Raw genomic sequence first — 21607 nt, 5'->3', positions numbered from 1 at the left:
TGCTCAGCTGGCCGCCTACTCGATGGCTGCGGAGACTGCGCACTGCGGGGCTGGGCCCTCACTGGGACCCTGGGAGGACACGGGGTGGAGCATGCGCCAGGCAGCCACGTGGCAGTGGGAGCCAGGCTGGAGTCCGCTGGTGGAAGACAGGACACAGGCTGGAAAGGCAGGTGCTGGGGGCAGGAGCTCGGGCTGCGGGGAATCGGCACAAAAATAAGACAGCAGGCTGGGGAGAAGGCCCCTCCCCATACGAAATCATCCCTAAGATTCCAAAGGCCTGGAAAACACCTCGCTAGGAGAAGCTTCATGGATCAGGCCAGGTCCAGCACCCAGACAGGCAGGGGCCGAGCAGGGCAGGGCTGGGCAGGCTGGGCCAGCACCAGCCTAGGAAGCCCCCTCTCCAAAGCCCTGTCCTGTGCCCCTCTGGCCCTGGGCTAGCAAGTCTGAGCATCTGGGGTCAAGGCGGATCGCTGGGGACCAGGCACCTGGAATGAGACAGAGGGGCAGTGCTGTGTGGGCCTCCCCAGGGACAGAACATGGAGTGGGAGCTGCGCATGGAGCCCCCGCTTGGGCAGCTCTGCAGGCCTCCAGGCCACCAAGGCAGCCAGCACAGTGGTCCTGGCAGGAGGGTGAGAGGGCGGCACATTCCAGCCACAGCCCACCTCTCCTCCCAGGATGCCTGGGGAAGTGCAGGAAGAGCCCTGTGGGGGCGGGGATGGGAGCTCGGGCCATCTTTGGAAAGAGGCTGTTAAGAGAAGGGAACAAGATGGGGCTGCAGGCCATTCCCTCCCCATGACAATGAGAGAGCTGCAGCCACAGTCCATGCGGCCCCCTGTGCCTTCAGCATCCAGCCTGCTGCGACTTTGAGGATGATGGCAGCTGAGGGTTCATCGGGGCCAGGCTGTGTCCCAGGAGGCATGGACTTGCTGGAGCTCAGCTGGTCAACTTCCAGGAGGCTCTGACCACCACCAAGTTCCAGCCATGAGGGTCTCCTCCTCAGCCAGGGGCACCCAACCCCTTGGGAAAGGAAGGGCTAGGCAGCTCCCACACCCTCCTCACCCCAGGACGAGCCTGTAGAGAAGAGCAGCTGTGTTTTCAGCTAGAGCCATGGGCATGAGGGGTCCAGGGAAAGGGCTGTCCGGACAAGCCACCTGCAGTGCCCACGGCCCAGCCTGAGGCAGCTCACTCCCACCCCAGCCCCCGCCCAGGCCTGAGCCCACCGGCTGTTGGCCAGGCCCGAATGGCCAAGATCGATGAGTGCCCAGCACACGAGCCTTGTTTACCAGGCTGTACTGTGTCTGCTCAGCATCAGGGCCTCCCACTGAAGCCCTCCCACACCCTCACACCCTTGCCTGCACCCTGTGCCCTGAACCTGCCATGCACAGCCCTGGCCACCCCAGCACATGGGGTCCAGTCTGAAGCAGTTGCCCATGAGGGCTGCCCCAGGCTGAAGCCCAGGCCCACGCCACAGCTGAGGTGAGCGGGATCTTCCACCAGGAAGCCCCAGCCTTCCAGAAGGGAGGTCTTGGAGCTCCAGGACAGCAACCCAGGACTGCCAGCACTCACAAAGCAGCAAGGGGGAGGAGCTCACTGGGTTCCCAAGGGCTGCGGGAGGGTGAAGAGGTGACCCAGTTGTGGGGCAGGGGGAGTTTGGCTGGCATGGCCACCTCAGGCCCTGCAGGCCACCCTGATCACCTGGGGAACCCAGGTCCCCGAGTATGGGCCAAGGGGCAAGGTGGGTGGTGCTCACCATGATGGTCCCAGGTGCTCACTGCTGCAGGGACAGAGGAAGTGAGCCTGGACATGGGACTCAGCCAGCTGGGGTCCTCATGGCAGTGTGGGGCAGCCTGGGGGCCAGGCCTGTCCAACTCCTGGTTGTCAGGGGACGTCAGGGCCTAACGGGCTGTGGGGAGAGCCTGGCCTGGGGCTGGGGATGGCAGAGCTCTGAGTGTAGGAGCTGCTGCCCCATCCAGCAAGCTGGACCATGGACAACAGGCGGAGGTCCCTGCAGGGAGCGTGGCAGGACGGGGTGTGCAGACAGGTGCTGCCCTGCAGCTAAGCCTGACTTCCCTGCTTGCCCTGGAGCCTGGCAGGGTTCTGGAGACCAGGAGCCACCACACAGTCCTAGGCCACTTCTACTTTGGGGGAGTAAGTGAAATTTAGAGCTCTTCACACCAGTCCGTGGCCCAGTCAGGGCAAGGTGGGGCCCACCCTGCCAACCGTGGCTGCAGACACCCAGAGCTCAGAGCCGTGGCTGGGGCCTGGGGTCTTGAATGTGAAGATGCGGCTGGCCTGGCAGGGCCTCAGCTGGTGCCTGGCACCGTCCCGGGCCCTGGCCTAGGTGCTCGGTGGACTGCTCCTTCCTAGTGCCAGGTCCACTTGCAGCTCCTGGGAGCTGCCCCGGGAGCTCAGCCCTGGGTGCCCCTGGCTCTCCCAGCTCAGTGTTTCACTATGATCAATCAGGGTATCGCCAGGAAGGGTCAGGGCTGCCACCTCCCTGGGCCACCTGGACCGAAAGCTGGGAGAGGCTGCCACAGACCACCTGGGTAGGTGGTCCACAGGGGCCCTTCTCACCCTGGGCCAGGTCTACAGCCTGTGTTTAGTCTGGGGTGGGGTGGGGTGGGGGGCTTTGCTGCTTCACTGCACCCCACATGAGCCCTGTTGGGAGGGCTGCCAGATGCAGGGAGACGCAGAGGCGCGGGTACACATTGCTCCACCAGCCAGACCCAGAGCTTCCTAGTGGGGACCAGTCTGGAGCTTGAAATCCCAGCCATCACTCAAGGGGTTTCACTTGTGCCAACACCTTTCTTTTGGAGGGGGTGTGTTGGGGGTGTCCAGTGACAGGGTTAATCCCCACAGTCCATGAGGCCAGTGATGTCATGGGCTCCTGGGGCCCATGGCACTGAGACCAGGTCCAGCACGAATTCACCTGCCCTTCCTTCAGTGCCTTCCAACACCACCCAGCCACCACGGCCAGGCTGGAAGGACAGCACACCCCAGCCACTCAGGAGTCACTTCGGACAGCCCACCTAGGGGCTTAAGTCCCAGTGGGACATGCCCACCCAGGCTGCCTCAGCTGCCCACGGGGCCTCCAACCACAGCCACAGGCTCCACAGGTATGACCACCCTGCCCAACTCAGTCCGCTTGGGCCATCCAGTTGGCCGCAGAGCAGAAGGATGGCGATCAAACCACAGAACAGAGTATGTGGACAGGTGGGCGGGGCACTGCAGAGTGGAGGGTGGACCTGGAGGGTGCCTGGGAATCCACACACACCAAGGCTGGACCTCACAAGAGGAGGGGCGGGCACGCTACACTCTGAAGTCTGAATCGTCCCTGGCCAGCCTGTGGCTGCTCTCACCTTTCCTTTGCTGCAGTGTGTGTCAAACACATGAATGAATGAGCAAATGAGTGAATCAGTCCCTGCCACCAGACCCCACAGGGTTACATCAAGGCCACCGAGGCTCAGCCGGGACAGGACTGGCCGGTATCACACAATCGGTGGGGGGAGGGCATCACACCCGGACTTCTGCACACAGGGCCTCTTTGCCAGAGGCTGGGCTGGAGCTCGACCCCAGGGCCACCTGGCTCACCTCATCTGTCCCCATAGCCACCTTTCAGTCCCCACCATGGCCACCATCCCCTTGTCCCCCACCTCCGTCCCCACAGCCACCCTGCCCACGGAGTTGATCGCTTGATTAAGCGCAGCATTTCAGTGCCCAGGGAGAAAAATCAATTCGCTTGGTTCCACTTTAATCCATCAGTTCCATTTCTGATAAATGTCCCCGTGCTGGAGTCACCATGTAGCCGCAGTGCCCCGCAGAGATTAGCTGCTAGGTCAGGGCAGCCAGGGCGAGCATCTGGCGAGCTGGGGCAAGCCTGGACCCTCAACTTGCCGTGACTCCCCACCCCTCTTCCCAGCACTTTACATGGTGGTAAGTGTGGGTACAGAGGTCAGAGCCCAGCTCTGGCCCCACCTGCCAGGGCCTGGATGAGCCCAGCTCCCAAGCTGCGAGCTGGTGACATTGTGGGGCTGGGATTAAATGGGATCTGCGGCTGCCAGGCTGGGCTTCTCAGGAATGAGCTGGCACTGGAGGACGAGTGGATTAGACGCGAGGTCAATATTTGTGGAATTGAATTGAATCTGTCACTTGGGGCGTGTATGTTCCAGGTAATTTTGTGGTTTCTGCCTCTGGCAGGAAAACCCAACACGATGACTGCCCCTCGCAGGCCACAGTCAGCCCGGCCCCAGGAGAGAGACCCGTGGAGCCCTATGTCTCAGCAGGCAAGGTAGGGGGACGGGGCAGGGGCAGGGAGGTCCCCGAGTGCTGGCCAGGGGAGGAATCTGCAGTGGTTGCCGGCTAAGGAGGGTCTGCCCTGGCCCCTGGGGCATGGAGGCCCCACAGCCAGGCCCCACCCCCAGCTCCTGGGACCTGCTGGCCTTTTAGGAGACGGGGGAGGCTGGGCCTGACCTCTCTGCAGGTGGTGTCACTGCAGGGCCACACTGCACTGTGCTGGTTGTTGTCCAGGGTGGGCAGATAGAGGGATGTGGACGGTGGGAGCCAGGGGAAGGGCAGAAGGGGACACTGGGCCACCCTGGAGAAGCCAGGTCAGGGCTGGCCCAGCAGGATGGGGGCTCTCTGCCTCTATGGCCAGCATTCCCAGCTGAGTCCCCAACTCTGCAGCCAGGAAGCCCCGTAGTGTGAAGGATGGGGACATCGCGATGCCCTGGCCCTGAGCCCACCAGGTGGCCCCAGGGCCCCACCCTGCCTGGCTCTTCCTGCATGGGTCTGGGGTGATGGGGGCTCATCTGAGGCCCAGTGCTGCCCACCTCGAATCCCCAAATCCCAAATTGGATTAGTTGTGTTTAGAAAGCAGCAAAGCTGCTATATTTGAGCAAAGGCTCAGCAGATTACCCTGGGCCAAGAGGGTGTCTGCCTGTGTGAGGGGGATTTGAGGAGGAAAAACTGCACTAAACAAGTGTTCATTGAAAAGAAACTTGGGGGATCATCTGAGTCAGCCGGGCCCTCCACCTGCCCCATAACACCTTCTCCAGCATGGGCTCCTGCTGCTGCTGGGACAACCAAGCAGGAGTGGACGGGGTCAGGCCACAGGCCACTGGGCCCAAGGCCAGGAAGGGGCGCCCAGGACTGCCCATGGGAGAAGGGCGTGGTGCCGACACGAGGTCACCTGGAGTCCCTGGGACTGGCCCTCCACCTCGTGACTCAGTCGCCACCCGGTGGCCCTCTCAGAAGCCCAGGGCCCAGCATACAGGAAGCTCCATGAGTGCTCATCATCACACACACTCCAGAGGCTGAGAACATCTTGGAGGCCTGGGGCCTGCTGGCCAGACCCTGTCCTGGGCCCTGAACACAGGCTGGGCCTGGAAGGGACAGTGAGGGGGGCCAGAGCCCATGCCTGCTCAGTGCAGCAAGCCCAGGCACCTGGTGGGTGGGCCCTGCAGCCAGGGAGGCCCCTGCACCCCACCCTTCCCAGCCCTGCCCTGGGTACCGTGTGCCACATCTCAGAGCCCACCCATGGGGCCCTCCCAACTCCAGCCAGGAGGGAGGATAGAGAACTTTTATTTCAGAAGAGTGCAAATAAACAAATCCTTCCTTCCCCCACCATAAAGAGCCCGGCTGGCTTTAGGAGAGAAGGCAGAATTTTTAGCCTCTCCTTTCCTCAAGGCACAGCAGGCCGAGCCTGTGTCACTCATGGCCCCTTTTACAAGTAAAGAATCCAGCTCTGGGCAGTCAGGTCTGCCCAGTGGAGGTGTTTGCCCTGGGGGGCCGGCTCACCTATCCGTAGGACCTGGCTCCTAGGGGTCCAGCCAGTCCCTGGCCTCCTGTTGATACGGAAAGGAAGTGCTGAGAAGGGAAAAGCGTGGTCCCTTTAAATGATACAGAGGAGGGACGGGAAGTGCTCCGTAGAGAAGGGCGTGGTCCCTGCCTAGGGCTCCACCCCCACGAACCTAGGTGAGGACAGGCATTTCCTGCCCAAATGTTGCATTTCCCAAGACCACCCTGGCCTGCCATGCCTCCATCCTATGCCTATAAAAACCCAAGACCCTAGCAAGGCAGAGACAGAAGCCTCTGTGTGGGGAGAGGAACACACTGGTGGAAGAAGACAAGCTGCTGGACATCCCGAGAATGTTGCCTGACTCCAGGGGAAAACCATCTCCCCTCTGGCTCCCCCATCTGCTGAGAGCTACTTCCACTCAATAAAACCTTGCACTCATTCTCCAAGCCCACGTGTGATCCAATTTTTTGGTACACCAAGGCAAGAAACCCTGGGATACAGAAATTCCTCTGTCCTTGTTATAAGGCAGGGGTCTAATTGAGCTCACTCTCACCAGCCACCTACAGACCGCTAGACTAAAAGACCACCCGGTAACGCACTCCCACTGGGGTTTCAAGAGCTGTAAACATTCACCCCCAGACACTGCCATGGGGTCAGAGCCCCACAGCCTGCCCGTCTGTATGCTCCCCTAGAGGTGTGAGCGGTGGGGCACTGAAGAAGCGAGCCACTCCCCCGCTGCATGCCCTGCGCCCTGCGCGGGGTAACCAGGGAACCCTTCCTGTTTCACTGTTTCACTGGGTAGAGATCTCCCGGCTGGAGACAGAATGGTGGGGAGAGGCCAGATGTGCCCAGCAGGTAGGGGATTCTCCAGGGGGGAGGCTGAGGCTGTTAGGAAAGGAGGGGCTGAGGGGGCGCCACAGCCCTCCCCGCTCCGCACCACACCCCACGTTAAACCCCTGTCCTCCACTCCTCTCCTGGGGCTAAGGAGGCTGAGAGTAGAGCTCAGAGGCCCACGCCCAGCACACAGGAGGCAGTGGGGGCTGTGGACGGGGCCAACGAGCCATGGGGTTGCTGGGCTGAAGCACCGGTGATGGCAGGCGTGTGAGAGGGAAGTGGGGGTGAGCCAGCCCTGTGGGCCTCTAGGCCCAGCTTCTGGGTATCCTGGCCCCCTGGAATGACCCAGGGCAGGAGCCTCTGACACCCGCCCCAAATGCCTGTGACCCCGTCCTGAGTGGGGGTCCTCCTTCTGGCCGTGACCGCCCTGGAGTGGCTTCTCAGCATTTTGTGGTCAGCACTCTCAGCCCCTCTGCCTTGCACCGTGTCATTTTCAGCAGATCCTGAGCCAGAGAAGGCCATCAATTATTCAGCTCCTGCCTCTCAGCCTCCTCCGTTAGTACCTCTTAAAGCCGGGAAGATAAATCTCTCCGCTTGCTCCGTGGCGCCGACAGGAAGCAGGGCGGCACCAGGACCGTGACAGGCCCCGGCTGGGCCCCGGTTTCCCGAGCCAGCACAGGCGGCCTGCAAGGCTTCTCTGCTATTAAATCCATAATTCAGCGGCAACGCAGCTGGGGCCTGGCACACAGGGTCCCTGTGATGAGGAGGGGCTGCCCCTGCCGGAATGCACCAGAGGCTGCCACCAGGGAGAGAGTTACAAGGACCACTTCCGTGGACCTGGCAGGTCCTAGGGCCCCCTTTAAAATTGTGCCTGGGGAGAGTCCCTGGCGCTGCTCCGGAGGATCATGGAGCCCGACTCTACTCACAGGGGAGACCACACAGCTTCTGCGGGGCAAGACAGCTGAGGAGCATGTCAGGCAAGCGACGGGCATGGGGGGTGGGGGGGAGCACAGCGTGGTCTGCATGCCCTCAGCCACGCCCAGGGTGACCCTGGAGGCCTGCATGGAAGACCCTGGAAGCGTCCTTGGCCACCCCTGGTGGAAGAGACAGCTCCAGCCTCACCTTTCTAGGACAGTGCCATCTGCCACCAAGGCAGCTCCAGAGAGTGGGACAGCTGTGAGAGGCGGGACCTGTCCAGGCTCCCTGATGGGCACTCACAGCCCCCTTCACCCTCAGCGAGGCACTTGCCCCAATGAAAACTGAGCAGTTGGACAATCTGATGTCTTGGAGGGTCCAGGTCAGCCCCCCACCCCAATGCCCAGCCCTGCATAACCAAGGAAGCGTTTGTTGAATGGCTGAGTCCCACCCCTGCTCCAACCTTGGCAGGCCTTGGAGTGTCCCCGGCAGGAAGTGGAGGGTGAACACAGGGGGACAAAGTAACAGGGCAGCAGAGCTGGGGTGGGGCCAGGCTGGGCAGACTGGGGAATGAGACCTACTCAGAACACCGCCCTCGGCAGAGCCACCCACCCCTATCCTTGCAAACCCTCTGCCCCAGGGCCCACTCTAAACCCATGAGAGCTGTGGCAGGACAGGGTGACTCCAGGCCTGGCCAGGAGGCTCCGGCTGACTCCGCCCCCTTCTCCTTCCCCTCCCCACTTCCCATTCCACAGGCCTCCACAGGGCAGGGGCCGTGACAGGGGTGACAGAAGTTCGGAGAGGTCACTGAGTCCCTGCAATTAGCAGTAATGAGTTGACACATGCCACAGGTCAAGTGCTAATGCAGGCTGATAATTAACTCAACCTGCTAGGAAGCGGTGCAGCCCCTCCTCCCTCTGATCAATTATCCTCAGGATGTTGAACAGCCCCGCCCCAGGGCTAATGGGGTCACATTCCAACCATAATGACGTGGCTGCTGCACCAGAAACACTGGGCTGGTGCCGGGAACACCCCCATCCCAGACTGGAGACCTCCCCCAGCCCCTCCAGATGAGGGTCCTGCCCTGCTCACTGGCTCCTGCCCCAACCCTGCTCCTGGGGCCTTCCTGACTCGCCACCTTGCACTTCCCAGGGACAGTACACCCAGCAGCCTGTCCCAGCCTATGTCTCAGCAGACCAGGCTCTGCGAGACACCCCCTCCAGCCTCCACCTCCCAGCACTGCCTCCAGAACAGGGGCCATTCAGACTCGTGGCTTGCTGTCCTCTGCCCTGCATCTCAGGCTGCTCCCAGCCCATGTCCAGTTTTGGGTGCTAGCCACAGTGCTACACTGACCATCTGGTACCTGCTTCTGCCACAGCTTCGGGGCCCTCCTGGGGCCAGCCAGCCCTGGACAAAGCAGACCCGACCCCTCCCTCCCTCTGGGCCTTGACCTCTGTTTCTGTTGCCAGCTGTGGTACCTGAGCCAGCAGCAACCCAAACAGGGAAGCAAGAAACTCTGTAGCTGCTTCTGTGCCTCTTTCTTCTTGGGGACAAGCCAAGCCTGTGTCTCCATCTCACTCAATCGTCGGGTCTGTGCCCAAGGTCAGGGCCATCGTGCTCCATCCATGGGCCGGCCTTGTCTTAGAGGCCGAGGGGCCTGGCCCCATCTGTGCCTGGCTTGGTAACAGTTCTGCAGTGTCCCAGGAATATTCCCTTGCCCATCTCAGGACAGGAGCTCACTCTGAGGGCCTGCCCCTCTTTGGGAACTACCCCCTCTGGCAGCTGGGGGTGAGCATGCTAGGTCTCAGTGAGCACATCTCTCAGGTCCCTGACCCCTGGGCACCCCCGTAGGCTTCTTGTATTGCCGGGGGGCAGGAATGGGCCCCTCCTGCATGCTGCCCCCACATGGTAGGGCCCAGACCTCCGTCTCCCCTGCAGTCCCACAGCCCCTGCCAAGGGCATCTGCGACTGGAAACTCCACCGCGGTGATCCTGAGCTGCTGGGAAGATGGGTTTTGATGGTACCGCTGCTCAGAGGGCAAGGGGCACCAGTGCCAGCCACCACATCAGGCACCATCTGCTGGTGCAGGAGGCCGGTGAGGGAGCCGAGGGGACACTCAGTTCAGAACGTCCTCTGCCCTGTGGCAGCGAGATTGTTGCGGCTTCACAGCAAGCAAATGCACGTTCCATGGGCTTAATTCTATCAATCCCCAAAGACCTGATGGCCCCTGCGTGCGGGGTGTCGCGCTTCAGTGCACACGGGGGGCCTTAAGCAGCGAGGTCCACACAGACCCCAGGAGTGGCCAGGAACCCTCTAGGGTCTGTGGCACTCAGGCCAGAGGCTGGGAATTCAGAGCCTTATGACCAAGGGGCCCAGGAAGTCCTTGAGAAGAATCACCTCTGAAACATTCTGGGAGCGCCTCCCAGGCAGCCGGCACTACACGGGGCACCTACACGCGTTTCCTTGCTAACTGACCATCCCATTGTATGGGTGACAAAACTGAGGTTCTAAGATGAGCAGAGGCTCAGCCCTCATCTCACATGAGGCAGAGCTGGGATTCCCACCCAGGACCATCCAGGTTAGAGCCCACCCAGCTGTCTCCAGTAGGTGCAGACGCAGGTGGGGCTCAGAAGCTGGCAGACAGGCTGGGGCACCCAGCCCCCTCCCTGGTGGTTGCTGTCCTCTCCACACGGGCCATGGCGAAGCTCTCAAAAGCAAACGCTGGGCCGTGCCCCAGCCCCTGGGTCTTCAGCAGTTGCTCCCGTCTCTCAAAAACTAGTTCTCACCTCCAGTGATCAGAAGCTGGGACCACAAAGGTTTCATCCCATGCGGGCCACCGAGCAGGCTGTGGCTCTCTGGGCACAGGAGGGAGGTCAGCTGTCAGCCAGTCCCATCCAGCCCCTGCCCAGGTGTATGGCCTCCTCCCCTCCGTCTGCTACCTCACCCCTGCTCCTGGTGCTGAAGCACATAACCCAGTGCCAAAATGTGCCTCCCCCGAAAAGCCACCCCTTACACCTGCCCACCATCATCAGTCACAGCTGCAAGAGTTTTCCAATGTCCCCAGCTCACCCTGCCACTCTCTCCCCCAGCCCCCCAGCAGGCCCCCATCCACCCCCAGTCCTCAGCCCTGACTTGAATTTCTGCGTTCTGTGCTTTGCACGTCTGTGCCACCAAGTCACTGAGGCCAGGGGCAGGTCTTATTTGCAGCCTTGAGGCTATTGAGAAAAGTTTAGGCAGAAAGGGAGGAAGGAAGGGAGGGAGGGAGGGAGGGAAGAGGGAAGGAAGGAAGGAAGGAAGGAAGGAAGGAAGGAAGGAAGGGTAGGGAGGGAGAGAGGGAGGGACACAGGGTGTCCTCTTATTTTTTACTTTTTTTTTTTTTTTGAGACAGAGTCTCACTCTGTTGCCCAGGCTGGAGTGCGATGGCATGATCTCGGCTCCCTGCAATCTCCACCTCCCAGGTTCAAGCAATTCTCCTACCTCAGCCTCCTGAGTAGCTGGGATCACAGGCACACACCACCATGCCCGGCTAATTTTTGTATTTTTAGTAGAGACGGGGTTTCACCATGTTGGCCAGGCTGGTCTCCAACTCCTGACCTCAAGTGATCAGCCTGCCTCGGGCTCCTAAAGTGCTGGGATTACAGGCGTGAGCCACCGCGCCCGGCCATAGGGCATCCTCTTAATTAGAGTGTGAGGCCTGCGGATATGGGCTGGGGAATAAGTTGATGCTGACAGAAAATAACTTAAACCATTGAAAGGAACAGGAAGTAAACAGAAGCAAATATTTACCGAATCCCTGGTGAGAAGGAACTTTCCAAGAATAAAGGGAAGGATGAGTTCACTTTGACTGTGTGGAAGCTAAATTCTCAGGTGGCTCAAAGGAAAACATCAAGCTAAAAGACAAGAAATGAGGCGGGTAAATTTTTGACACTAACATGACAAAAAATTAATAGCATTAACACGGCAGGAACTTATCTGAAGCAGCAACACCAAGGGCAATGTGAGTGAACTGCAGACAAGGCAACCCGGACGCCATGGGACACGCCACAGAGCAGGCTGCCTTGTCCCCACTCTGCCTACATGTGAGACCCACCAGACTCACAGTGAACACATCCCAGCCCCTCCGGCCGGGCACCACGGAAGGCCCTCCCTCCTCCACTGAGGGCAGGGATCACAGGGCCAGGTTTTTGTCATCGGACAAGGGGTGTCCCAAGTCATGAGATGCTTAACCCATGAATGCCCCCTCTTGGAGTCTATGCTAATTAAACACGTAGAGGGGCGGACTTCACTCTGCCAGCTCAGATAATGACCACAGCATATTTATAACCACAAAGAGGTGGAAACAGCTACACTATCCAACAGTGGGGAAATGTTTAAGTCAATGCTGGGAGAGTAACACCATGGACCAGCCCCGAAGAGACATCTGTGGTGAGTGAAATGCACGCCATACAAGCCCAGAGAGACTGTGAACTTGGAAGAAAGAATAGGTGCACACAATAAGACTGGGAGGAAATGAACAAACTATCATCGGCCATGAGGTTCTCCTTTACTTACAATAAGTATATGCAGCACAGACATGAGAAAGGCATTCCTGGAGTGTGAAGCCCAGGGCAAGAGGATGCGGGTGTCCTGAGCAAGCAATAATGCCAGCACCTTCTGCAAGGTGAGATAAGTCACCTTGGCTCTCTCAGGCTCCAATCATCTCTGCGACTATAAGGACAGCCCTGTCCCTGGACAAGGGGCAGCTTTGAGGGAAAGGATAGAAGGCCAGATGGGCAGATGGATGGAGGGTGAATGAATGAGTGAACAGACATACAAGTATATGGGCAGATGAATGGAGGGTGAATGAATGAGTGAACAGACACACAAGTATATGGGCAGATAGGTGGGTGAATGGACAGGTGGGTGGATGGACAGTGAGTAGGTGAAAATGGATGGGTGAGTAGATGGGGGATGAACAGATGGGTGCATAGAGAGATGGCTATGTGGATGAATGGTAGGTGGACAGGTGGACAAATAGAGGAATGAATGGTGGGAGGGATGGATGAATGGATAGATGAGTGGATGGACGGATGAGCAGATGGACTAGCAGATGGGTGGATAGATGCATGGATGAGTGAGTGGATGAATAGAGAGATGGACAGGTGAGTAAATGGATGGATAGATGGATGGACACATGAATGGATGGGTGAGCAGGTGGATGGGCAGGTGGATGGATGAATGAAAGGATGGATGGATGGATGGATGGATGGATAGGTATATGGGTGGAGGGATGGATGGATAAATCAGTGGCAGGTGGATGGGTGAAAGGATCAATGGGTAGAAGGATGGATGGTTAGATAGATGGGTGTTTAGATGAATGGATGGTGGACAGTGGATGAATGGGAGCTGGGTGAGGGGCTCTGGTGGATAAGGCTTAGCCATTTGACCGCTGCTCTGGCCTGTGTGTTTGCCCCTTCCTTCCAGGAGCTCTGCTGGGCCACCTCTTGGGCAACAAACCATCCTGGGACATCTTGCAGACAAGGAAACAGGCTTCAGGAGGCAATGGTGCCTCTTGAAGGGCAGGGCACACAGCCACAGGGCCACCTTCTGCATGGCTCCCACCGCAGCTGAGTCTCCAAGGAAGCTGGGTTTTTACAGGGGCAGGTCCTCAAGGTGGATACCCCTTTGCTAAAGGCTCTGCCCCAGCAACCCACAAGCAGCCACTTGCCCTGGGCTCCAGGCGGCTGCCCTCCCCTTGCTGTCCTCTGGACTGTTTAGTATGCAGAAGGACCAGCCCTGCAAGGCCACCATAAATCCTGCCCCTGTCCTACAGCAGATCAATTGCCAATCGGCTCCAAATCCCCTAGATGTCTCAGCAGCTTGGCCCAGCTGTAGGAGCCACGGCCATGGTTGGCTCTAGATGCTGCTGGCTATATATATTGAACTTGAAGCATCGGATTACATGTTTGTTCAATAGCAATAAACTCCCAAAGTTTTATGGGGTCATAAAACCGCTGTCTCGGCTCCCACTTAGGTGGTATGTAATGTACACAGGCTGGTTTCCCCGCTAATGGGGCGGTGCAAGTGATTTGGGGCTATTAGCTGGAAACATCACATCTGCATTTCCCAAATTCTCATAAATAAGGTGGCCCCACCAGAGTGCACCAGACCCAGCCTTGTAGTTCGAGGAGAGGAAGAAAGGCAGAGTGGGTTGGAGCCATGAGAAATGATTAGAGAGGGAGGGAGACCAGGCGGGGTGGGGGGAGGCAAGGGATGTCAGGAGAAAAGAGGGTGCAGGGCTCAGCCCAGATGCCCACCGCCCTTGAGCGCATCCCTGCCCAGCCTCTGGCTTAGGAGGACTCAGAGGACAGGCACCTCCTCCCAGGGTCCTGGGCCCCAGCCTTGCCCTCTAGAGAGGGCAGTTCAGGCACTTGGGGGGCTTGGATGAAGGGCTGAACTGTGGACGGTGGACAGAGCAGAGGGAGCCACGTGCGAAACAGCACCCAGGTGGGGCCGCAGTGGTCAGGTCTCCACAGACCCCACGGGGAGTCAGAGAAGACAGCAGAAACACAGAGGCTGAGGCCAGAGCGGGGAGATGGCCAGGTGACCTTAAGCAGGCCAAGGCTGGTGTGTGCATTTGGGGAGATGTCCCCTCTGTGGCCCAGGGTCAGGGTGAGGCACTGCTGCGGGTGGAGATGGAAGAGGCAGCTTAGGAAGCAATGAGTTCCCATCTAGGGGCAGGGGCCACTGTGAGAGCCCGAGGGAGGCGTCGCATGAGGGCCCTCAGCTCTACCCTGGACCCGTGGTTACCATGTGCAGAACTGCTCAGATCCCAGTGCCAAGCGCCCCATAAGAGTGTCTGGGATCCAGGCGGGAAGACACCCAGACAGGACGGGGAGAGGCAGCCATGCAGCCAGGAGCTGGGCAGGGGGCAGACACGGGGAGACGCAGAGACAGGCAGCCGGACTCTGACGGTCAACCCCAGCTTGGCTGTGGCCAGGTGAGAGTGAGGGGCCACACTGCCCATCCCTTGGGGTAGCCCAGCTGGTGGCACTGGCACCCGGGACATGGCCAGTCACCTTTTAGCTCTAGCCAGGCTCTTCTCAGAGCTGGAGTTGGGCACGTGAATGACTTTGCCCGGATCCTTGTAACTTTGCTATCGACCCAGGCCCTCGGAAATGCATCGATTTGCCCAAATCAATATTTATTGTGGCTTCAAAGACTGGGGGTTGGAGAGGGGGGTCTGCAGGCTGATGAATGGAGTCAAGGCAGCCAGAGAGCGGTCACCCCCACCTCCCACCCAGCAGGCCTCACCAGCCTCTGCACCTGCTCTGCCCCCACCCAGCCCCCGCCTCTACCCTGAGAGCCCGCCAGGGACAGCCCACCCAGGTGTGGACAAAGGATGAGCTGGTGGAGGTCACCGGTGCCCAGGAGACCCTGCTCACTCCTGTGCCTCGGACACCGAGTGTCCTGCCCTCTGGGGCTGTTTGTTTCCTGGAGGCTCGAAGTGAGTTCCTGGGAACCAAGCTCGTCCGGGGTTAATTTCCCTGTGGAAGTCCCTCCCTCAGGGGAGTCTGGAAGTCAGGGGTGTTGCAGGAGAGCTCCCCTGGCATCCCCACCTTCCAGGCCACACAGGGCCTATAGGTGGGCTCCTGTCTCGACTCCATAGGGCCCCTCGCGGGGGGCCTGGGGCCGGCAGCAAGCGCACTGGATGAGGATGAGGGGCATCCACCCAGGGGTCCCCGTGCCCCAGGGCTCAGGGGAAGGACAGGAAACCCCCCCACACACCCCAGGGGCCCGAGGCCGCAGGACAAAAGGACAGGCCACTATGGGCCCTGGGGGTCTGGAGAGGCGGGTGGCCCCTGGCCCACACAGGACCGGGAAACTCATTTCAGGAGTCTCTGATGAGGCTAAGGAGGCCTGTAGAAGGCAAAACATGTTCACAGAGAGAAACACGCATTCCCAGAGAGGAATTCTCAAGGCCAAGGACCGACAGCAGCAGCAGAGCCCGCATGCAGTGAGCGAGACCCCGTGGGGGAGCAGCAGCTGGCGGCTGCATTGAGTGAGCACACACAGAGCCTGAGCCAAGGCGAGAGATGGGGCAGACCTGTCCATTCCCTCGGAAGGCCACTGGGGCCGTGACCCCCAGCGCTGGCCACAGGCTGCCCTGGGCAAGCCCAACCCTGTGGAGGCTTCTTCATGTCTACTCCTGTCCCGTGGCTCCTGCTCTCCTCTGAGGGTCGGGAAGGGCCCAGCCACATGCCCAAGAGTTGAGGACCTACTCCTGGAAAATCCCAGCTCCCCTGGAGACGCAGGTGCAGGTGGGAGCTGTGCAGAAGGCGGCTCTGTGGCTTTGTGCCCTGTGCAGACACTGTTTCCTCTCTTAAGCCTCAGTTTCCTTCTCTGCAAGATGTCCCGGGATGTCAGGGAGGTGGTGTGCAGTGGGCTTCCCCCGCCCCGAGGCTGGTGGTTCAGCCCCTCAGGCAGAACTCAGGGACAGAGGAGCCCCGGCAGAGTGGACGGGGGTGAGGATGAGATGGACTGCCCTGGCTACAGGGGGAGCCTGTGAGGACCAGGGCCTCCTCATGCAAACACAAACCCATCCAGGCCTGGCTGGGGGCTCAGAGGGGTTAGTGATCTGCCAGGAGTCTGAGGCAAGCGTGGGGCAGATGAGCATGGAGGAAGCGGGCCTGGTGGTCTGGAGCTGCCTCTGGGAGCCTTCCTGGAGGAGGCTGTGTCTCCAGCAGCCTCAGAGAACAGCTAGTGTTTCTCGGTGGCATGGCCACTGCCTTCACTTCTCCCATCTCAGATCAATTTTTAATGTAGAATGAAAGCCGGGAGATCAGACTTTGGCAGACTGGCTGCTCAGTAACTGAGTTCAATCTCAAGCAGGGCCCGAGTGCCCTCCCCTCCAGCCCCCTGCGCCCTCGTCCTGGGAGGGCCTTCTCTGGCTCCACTGCCAGCCCACCCAACATCATTACCCCACCCGCACCTGCCCCCACATCTCAGCCTTCCAGAGTGAACACAGCTGTGTTTAGGGAGCTCCTCCAAAACTCAGTGAATGCTGAGGGCTCCTGGCAGGGGTCAGGAGAAAGGGGTCCTGAGGGCAAAATAGCAGGCACCAGGCTGACCCCATGGCCAAGAGGGCCTGAGGGACAGAGCCTGCTCCAGGGCGGGCTGGAGGCTGGGGCAGGGTGAGGACGGGTGAGGAAGTGCAAGCAGGGCTCACGGGCAGGGGGAGCTCCCCCGCGTGGTGGGAGGGCATGTGCCTGCAGTGGGGCCCAGGGAAGCGCCCCAGGACCACGGCCCCCAGATTTTGGCCCCAGGTTCTCTGCCCCCAGCTGAGGTTCACCTGGCAGGTGCCTAACCAAGCATCCAACCTAAAAGCCTCCCCAACCCAGGGCCACTCTACCTGGCTGGGACACCCTTGTGGGGTGTCTCTGTCGGGGTCACCACGTGACCTGGCTCCTGGGGCTCTCCGGTTTTTCAATGCCCTCAGTGAGTGGGTGTCAGTTTGTAGTTAGAATGAATGTGTCACATGCCCACAACGAGTGGGTGAAGGGGAAGCCTGGGAGGCCATACAGGGCCTGGCCAGGGCCACCCCACCCTAGGCCCACAGACAGCAGAGAAAGGGCCATCCTGGGGGTCCCCACCCAGCCTGGAATGAACAGGGAAGCAGCTGCTCCCAGGGGAGGGCCTGCAGGGGGAGGGGGGTCCTGCCAGGAGCTGAGGGCTTCTGGGGCGGTGCACCAGCCCAGGGCCCCACCCACCCTCCTTCCTGGGGTCCATGACAGAAGAGGGAGGAATCTACAGTGTTGACCTGGGGTCTGCAAGGAGATACCGGCATTTCCAAGCTGTGGGGCCCCCTGCCAGGCCACACAGATGGGCTGTGGGCAGCATCAGGCTGTGGTGAGCCCACAAGGATGCCGGGTGCCCATGTGGGGCCAGGAAGTCTCGGAACAGGTGAGGGAGGGGCCTGGGCAGGCTGCTGGGAGATGGCAGCACCCCCACCTGACCAGGGGCTGGGGTGGGGCAGGCTGTGGCTCTAATCTCAGTCCTGCTGTGTGTGCAACAAGGAGACATCCCCTCACTGATTTTTACAGACGAGGAAACCGAGGCTCAGAGAGGTAAAAACCCTTGCCTGGCGTGGACCTGGCTCACAGACCCACATGCTGAGGACCCAGCCAGGCCAGGAGCTCTCAGAGGTCCCGTTTCCTACCCGTGAGACGCTTGTCCACAAGCAGCCATAGCCCTAGAAAGGGAAGGCGGGACCCGGGAAAGGCAGGGCAGAGGGGCGGCTGGTGGACCCAGGGCCGACTTTGCGGGCCAGAGGCTGCCTGACCTACCACCTCCTCCAATAGAGGCACCAACCCCATGTCCAGGGGGATGGGTTGAGGGATACCAAGGTGGGGGTGGGGGAGGCCAAGAGCCTTGCCCAAGCTCCCCAGCCCGGAAGCTGCAGGCAGGACACGAGCCCAGGACATAGCAGAAGACAGCTGTCCCAGCAAGTACTGGGCACCTCCTGGGTGCAGTGCCCAGCAGGCCAGGGGCGGGTGCTTGCTGCCCATGGAGCCTGGCAAGAAGGTGCACACCCAGCGCTGGGGTTTCAGAAGGTCATGAGATGGTGGTGGGAGCCCCTCCTGGCTGGGAGCCTGAGATCCAAGGGACGTGGTAGGACCCAGAGATCAAGAATGCTACATGGATGGGGAAACAGGCCCTGGACCAGCACCTTGAGAGAAGGGTGGGGCTGTCCTGGCCCTCAGGCTGCCCGGCCTGCAGGGCTGTGGGCTCCCACGGGGTGAGCTGCATCCAGAGGCCCGTGAACCTGTGCCCAGGCAGGCCCAGCGCCCATTCTCTCCACCTGCACACGCATTCCCCAGCTGGTTTTTTGGCTAGTTCATTCGCTCACTGACCCCTCAACTATTATTTATGAGTCTCTCGGGTGGTAAATAAAGTCAGGGGAATGTGGCAGGAGCCAGGGTTGGGGGTCATGTCCAGGCCCTGCTTCCCTTTTGCAGGGGAGGGTGCTGAGGGATGACGGGTGCCCCCCGAGGCCAGGTCCCTGAGAACCCACTGTTCTGACCCCCAACGTGCTGCCGAGTCCAGGTCGCCAGGTGAGGGCCGCATGGGACGTGTCTAAGGTCGAGAGCTCTGTTCTCCTGCCTGCCTGTCCTGTCGTAATCACTGCCTGGGGACCCAACACCACACTGCTCCTCGAGGGCCAGCCTCCCTGTTCTGTGAGCATTGATTTCTGTGTTTCCAACAGAGACCGGAATTAGTAGCTGGCATTTGTTTGGGCAGAAACAGCATCAATATTGTCTCTGGGGTGTCCCGGGCCTGTTCCTGCCTGCAAGCCTGGAACAGGCCCCAAGCCCGACTCCTGGCTCAGCCCACCAGCCCACCAAGGAGGAGGACACAGAAGGCAGAGTGACCTGCCTGAGCCACCCGGTGTCTGGGCAAAGCCATTCGCATGGCACGGGAGCTCCTCCTGCCTGAGGCTGCTGCCTGAAAGCCCCCTTAGCACCTCGTTTCTGAGGCCTGAGAGCAGGAGCTCCCTCCACTCTTAGAAAGGACACTTCCTCCTGCCCAGTGCTGGGCAGGCAGTGGCTGCAATGTTCCCTGACTAGGGCTGGCCAAATGCATGGGTCTGAATCCATCAACTGAGCTGGGCCCGCCACATGCCTCCTCCCACAGAGGCCTGACACAGCCCCAGATGGGACAGCCTTTACCGATCCACTGTGTATATGCCTTGAGGGGGAGGCGCTGACCAGCCCAAGGCCCCCAGCCATAAGTGGTGTCCAGGCCTGGTCTCTTGTACCCTGGTCCTGGTAGTGGTCTGACTTTGGTTTTCTTCATTCCTGCCTCTAATCCTCGTGTGAGCAGCCCGGAGGCCAGCATGGAGGAGGCGAGCTGAAGGAGCAACAGCAGGGCCCTGAGAAGGGCAGGTCCTCCTCCTGAGGCTGGGGTGGCCCCTCAGGACCATCAGCGGGGCTCCTGACTTTCCCACAGACCCTGCTGCCTGCTGCCCTGGTGGGGTTGGGGCATTTTCAGGAACAGAGACATGTGCAGCAAAGTGCTTGCAGGAGCCCTGCCTCTGAGGTCCCCGGGGTCCGCCCTCCCCCAGCTAAGGGCTGATAGCATCGGGGCCAGGTTGGGGGGATGAGCATGGGGTGTGGAAGATGAGGGAGCTCAGGATGCATGTGGGCTCTGACCTCCCCTCCCCCTGCACCTCCAGCAAGCCCCTTCAATCCAACCAAGGCTCCCCATCTGGGTAAGGCCGTCCTGGGGTTTAAGCAAAAGGTGGGCACACAGCAGGTGCTCACAGGCCTCGGCAGAGGATGGGGTGTCTGGGGAGGGGAGAGGAAGGCTGCTCTGGGGACCAGCACAGGAGACCAGCCATGGCAGCCCAGGAACACCTGCCGCCCAGTGTCCATCTGAAGGCTGGTCACCAGGAAGGCCAGTCTTGACCCAGATCTGTCACCTCCAAAGCATCTGTGGGGTATGAAACATGGCCTAGCTGAGAGGCAGGATAGGGCTTCTCATGCCCAACCCTGCCCCTGGGAAACGTGATAGGTTCCTGCCAGCGCTCAGCCCCTCAGAGGATGGCTCAGCTCACAGATACACAGCAAGGCCCCCTGATCCCCCACAGCCACCAGAAAAGCCAGCACTTCCGGGACCCCCATTCCCTGACTCCCACCCAGGATGGCCGCAGCCTGCTTCACAAACGCCAGGCCCTTGCACACAGTAGGTGCTCAAGGGCTGCGTGGCCTCATGCCCCCTAACAGCCCCCTCCAGGACCCAGGAAGGAAGAGGGGGCCCAAGGGTTGAGGGTGGGTCTCCAGGAGCTCTGTGCAGTAAGATTCCAGAGCCCAGCGTGGCCTCCAGCAGAGCACCAGGGAGGGGTCCAGGGGTGTGCCTGCCCAGGAGGCTACGTGCAGGCTAGGCCCTGTGACAGCGATCAGAGGGGAAGGTCACAGCAGCTTCGTGCTCTGTATTGCAATGCATGCCCTGTTAATCCTCATGCAGGGCTCACACTAGCCCCTATGTGCCCCCATGGGTGGCCTTCCCCTCCTGTGACGCTGACCCCCAACCCCACCTGCCCGCCTGCAGCATCTCCAAGGCCTCCGGAGCAGAATTGAGAATTACAGCAGCTTGTCGGGCATCACTCCCAGCCAGGGTTGGGACCCGATCCATCCCGCAGCAGCATCTGTGACCTTCTAGAAAGGTCTCTGCCTGCTGGGGGTGGGCAAGCAGGTGGGGTCCAAGGCCGGCGCCCTGAGATCCACTGCCAGGAATTGACCTCATTTAGCTGGCAATACCTGCTTGAGCTTGGTGTTTAAGGAGCTGTCCTGGAGTCATCTATGCCCATGAAATCCCAGACACACCTGCACAGCCAGCTCCTGGGCTTCATCCAGCACAGGAAAAAGCAGCCGAGTGAGTGACGGAGCCTCAGGCTCCCAGTAAAAGCTGTGGACAGAGCCCAAGCTGTGCTGTCCTCACAACTCAGGGCAGAAAATCTGGAGGAGGCAGTGAGGACCATTCCCCTGAAACAGGAAAAGTTCCTTTGTCCCCTTCGCAGGGCATGCAATGGGGGTGTGGCTCACTTCTTCGGTGCCCTGCTGCTCAAACCTCTGGGGGAGCATACAGACGGGCAAGTTGTGGGGTGTTGACCCCACGGCAGTGTCTAGGGGTGGATGTTGACAGCTCGTGAAGCCCCACTGGGCGTGTTACAGGGTGCTTTTAGTTTAGCCATCTATAGGCAGCTTGTGTTAACCAGCTCAACTAGACCCCTGCCTTATCACAAGGACAGAGGGCTTTCTGGATCCTGGGGTTCTTGCCTTGTGTAAATCTGACCACACGTGGGCTTGGAGAATGAGTGCAAGGTTTTATTGAATGGAAGTAGCTCTCAGCAGATGGGGGAGCCAGAAGGGAGATGATTTTCCCCTGGGCGGCCTGAGCTCTCCTACGACTGCCCCAGCCAAACTCCACATCATTCTGCCGCAGCCGGCTTCACAAATGCCAGGCCTGCCAGTGCCTGTCTGTGGATTCCGCTTGACGTCCAGCCACTTGTGCGTTCTTCCA

The 21607-nt window shown here is 60.2% G+C and overlaps 3 long non-coding RNA genes across 3 annotated transcripts, besides 3 other annotated features; 2 read left to right on the top strand and 1 right to left on the bottom strand.

The window, feature by feature from the left end:
- The first annotated feature begins 98 nt into the window (after window positions 1–98).
- On the top strand, window positions 99–6243 carry LOC105372862 (uncharacterized). Its single transcript, XR_938009.3, has 3 exons — window positions 99–3116; window positions 4198–4288; window positions 6016–6243. It is a non-coding gene; the product is annotated as an uncharacterized LOC105372862 (long non-coding RNA).
- On the bottom strand, window positions 3724–5929 carry LINC00896 (long intergenic non-protein coding RNA 896). The gene has a single exon (NR_026919.1). It is a non-coding gene; the product is annotated as a long intergenic non-protein coding RNA 896 (long non-coding RNA).
- Window positions 3834–4364: an enhancer, noted in NCBI's record as "H3K4me1 hESC enhancer chr22:20195420-20195950 (GRCh37/hg19 assembly coordinates)". NCBI's record gives its function as "activates a minimal SCP1, AML or CMV promoter by ChIP-STARR-seq in naive H9 embryonic stem cells {active_cell/tissue: H9 hESC(naive)}" and the evidence as "EXISTENCE:reporter gene assay evidence [ECO:0000049][PMID:30033119]".
- Window positions 5573–5812: an enhancer, noted in NCBI's record as "active region_18672". NCBI's record gives its function as "activates an Ori minimal core promoter by ATAC-STARR-seq in GM12878 lymphoblastoid cells {active_cell/tissue: GM12878}" and the evidence as "EXISTENCE:reporter gene assay evidence [ECO:0000049][PMID:35858748]".
- Window positions 6244–7342: 1099 nt separating the features above from the next.
- LINC02891 (long intergenic non-protein coding RNA 2891) lies at window positions 7343–13532 on the top strand. The gene is made up of 4 exons (NR_038460.2): window positions 7343–7608; window positions 7762–7928; window positions 10935–12206; window positions 13010–13532. It is a non-coding gene; the product is annotated as a long intergenic non-protein coding RNA 2891 (long non-coding RNA).
- Window positions 8368–8963: an enhancer, noted in NCBI's record as "H3K27ac-H3K4me1 hESC enhancer chr22:20190821-20191416 (GRCh37/hg19 assembly coordinates)". NCBI's record gives its function as "activates a minimal SCP1, AML or CMV promoter by ChIP-STARR-seq in primed H9 embryonic stem cells {active_cell/tissue: H9 hESC(primed)}" and the evidence as "EXISTENCE:reporter gene assay evidence [ECO:0000049][PMID:30033119]".
- Window positions 13533–21607: the final 8075 nt, after the last annotated feature.

The sequence above is a fragment of the Homo sapiens genome, chromosome 22 (genome assembly GCF_000001405.40).
Source record: "Homo sapiens chromosome 22, GRCh38.p14 Primary Assembly".
Taxonomy (NCBI): domain Eukaryota; kingdom Metazoa; phylum Chordata; class Mammalia; order Primates; family Hominidae; genus Homo; species Homo sapiens.
This window is presented reverse-complemented; position numbering and strand designations above follow the sequence as displayed.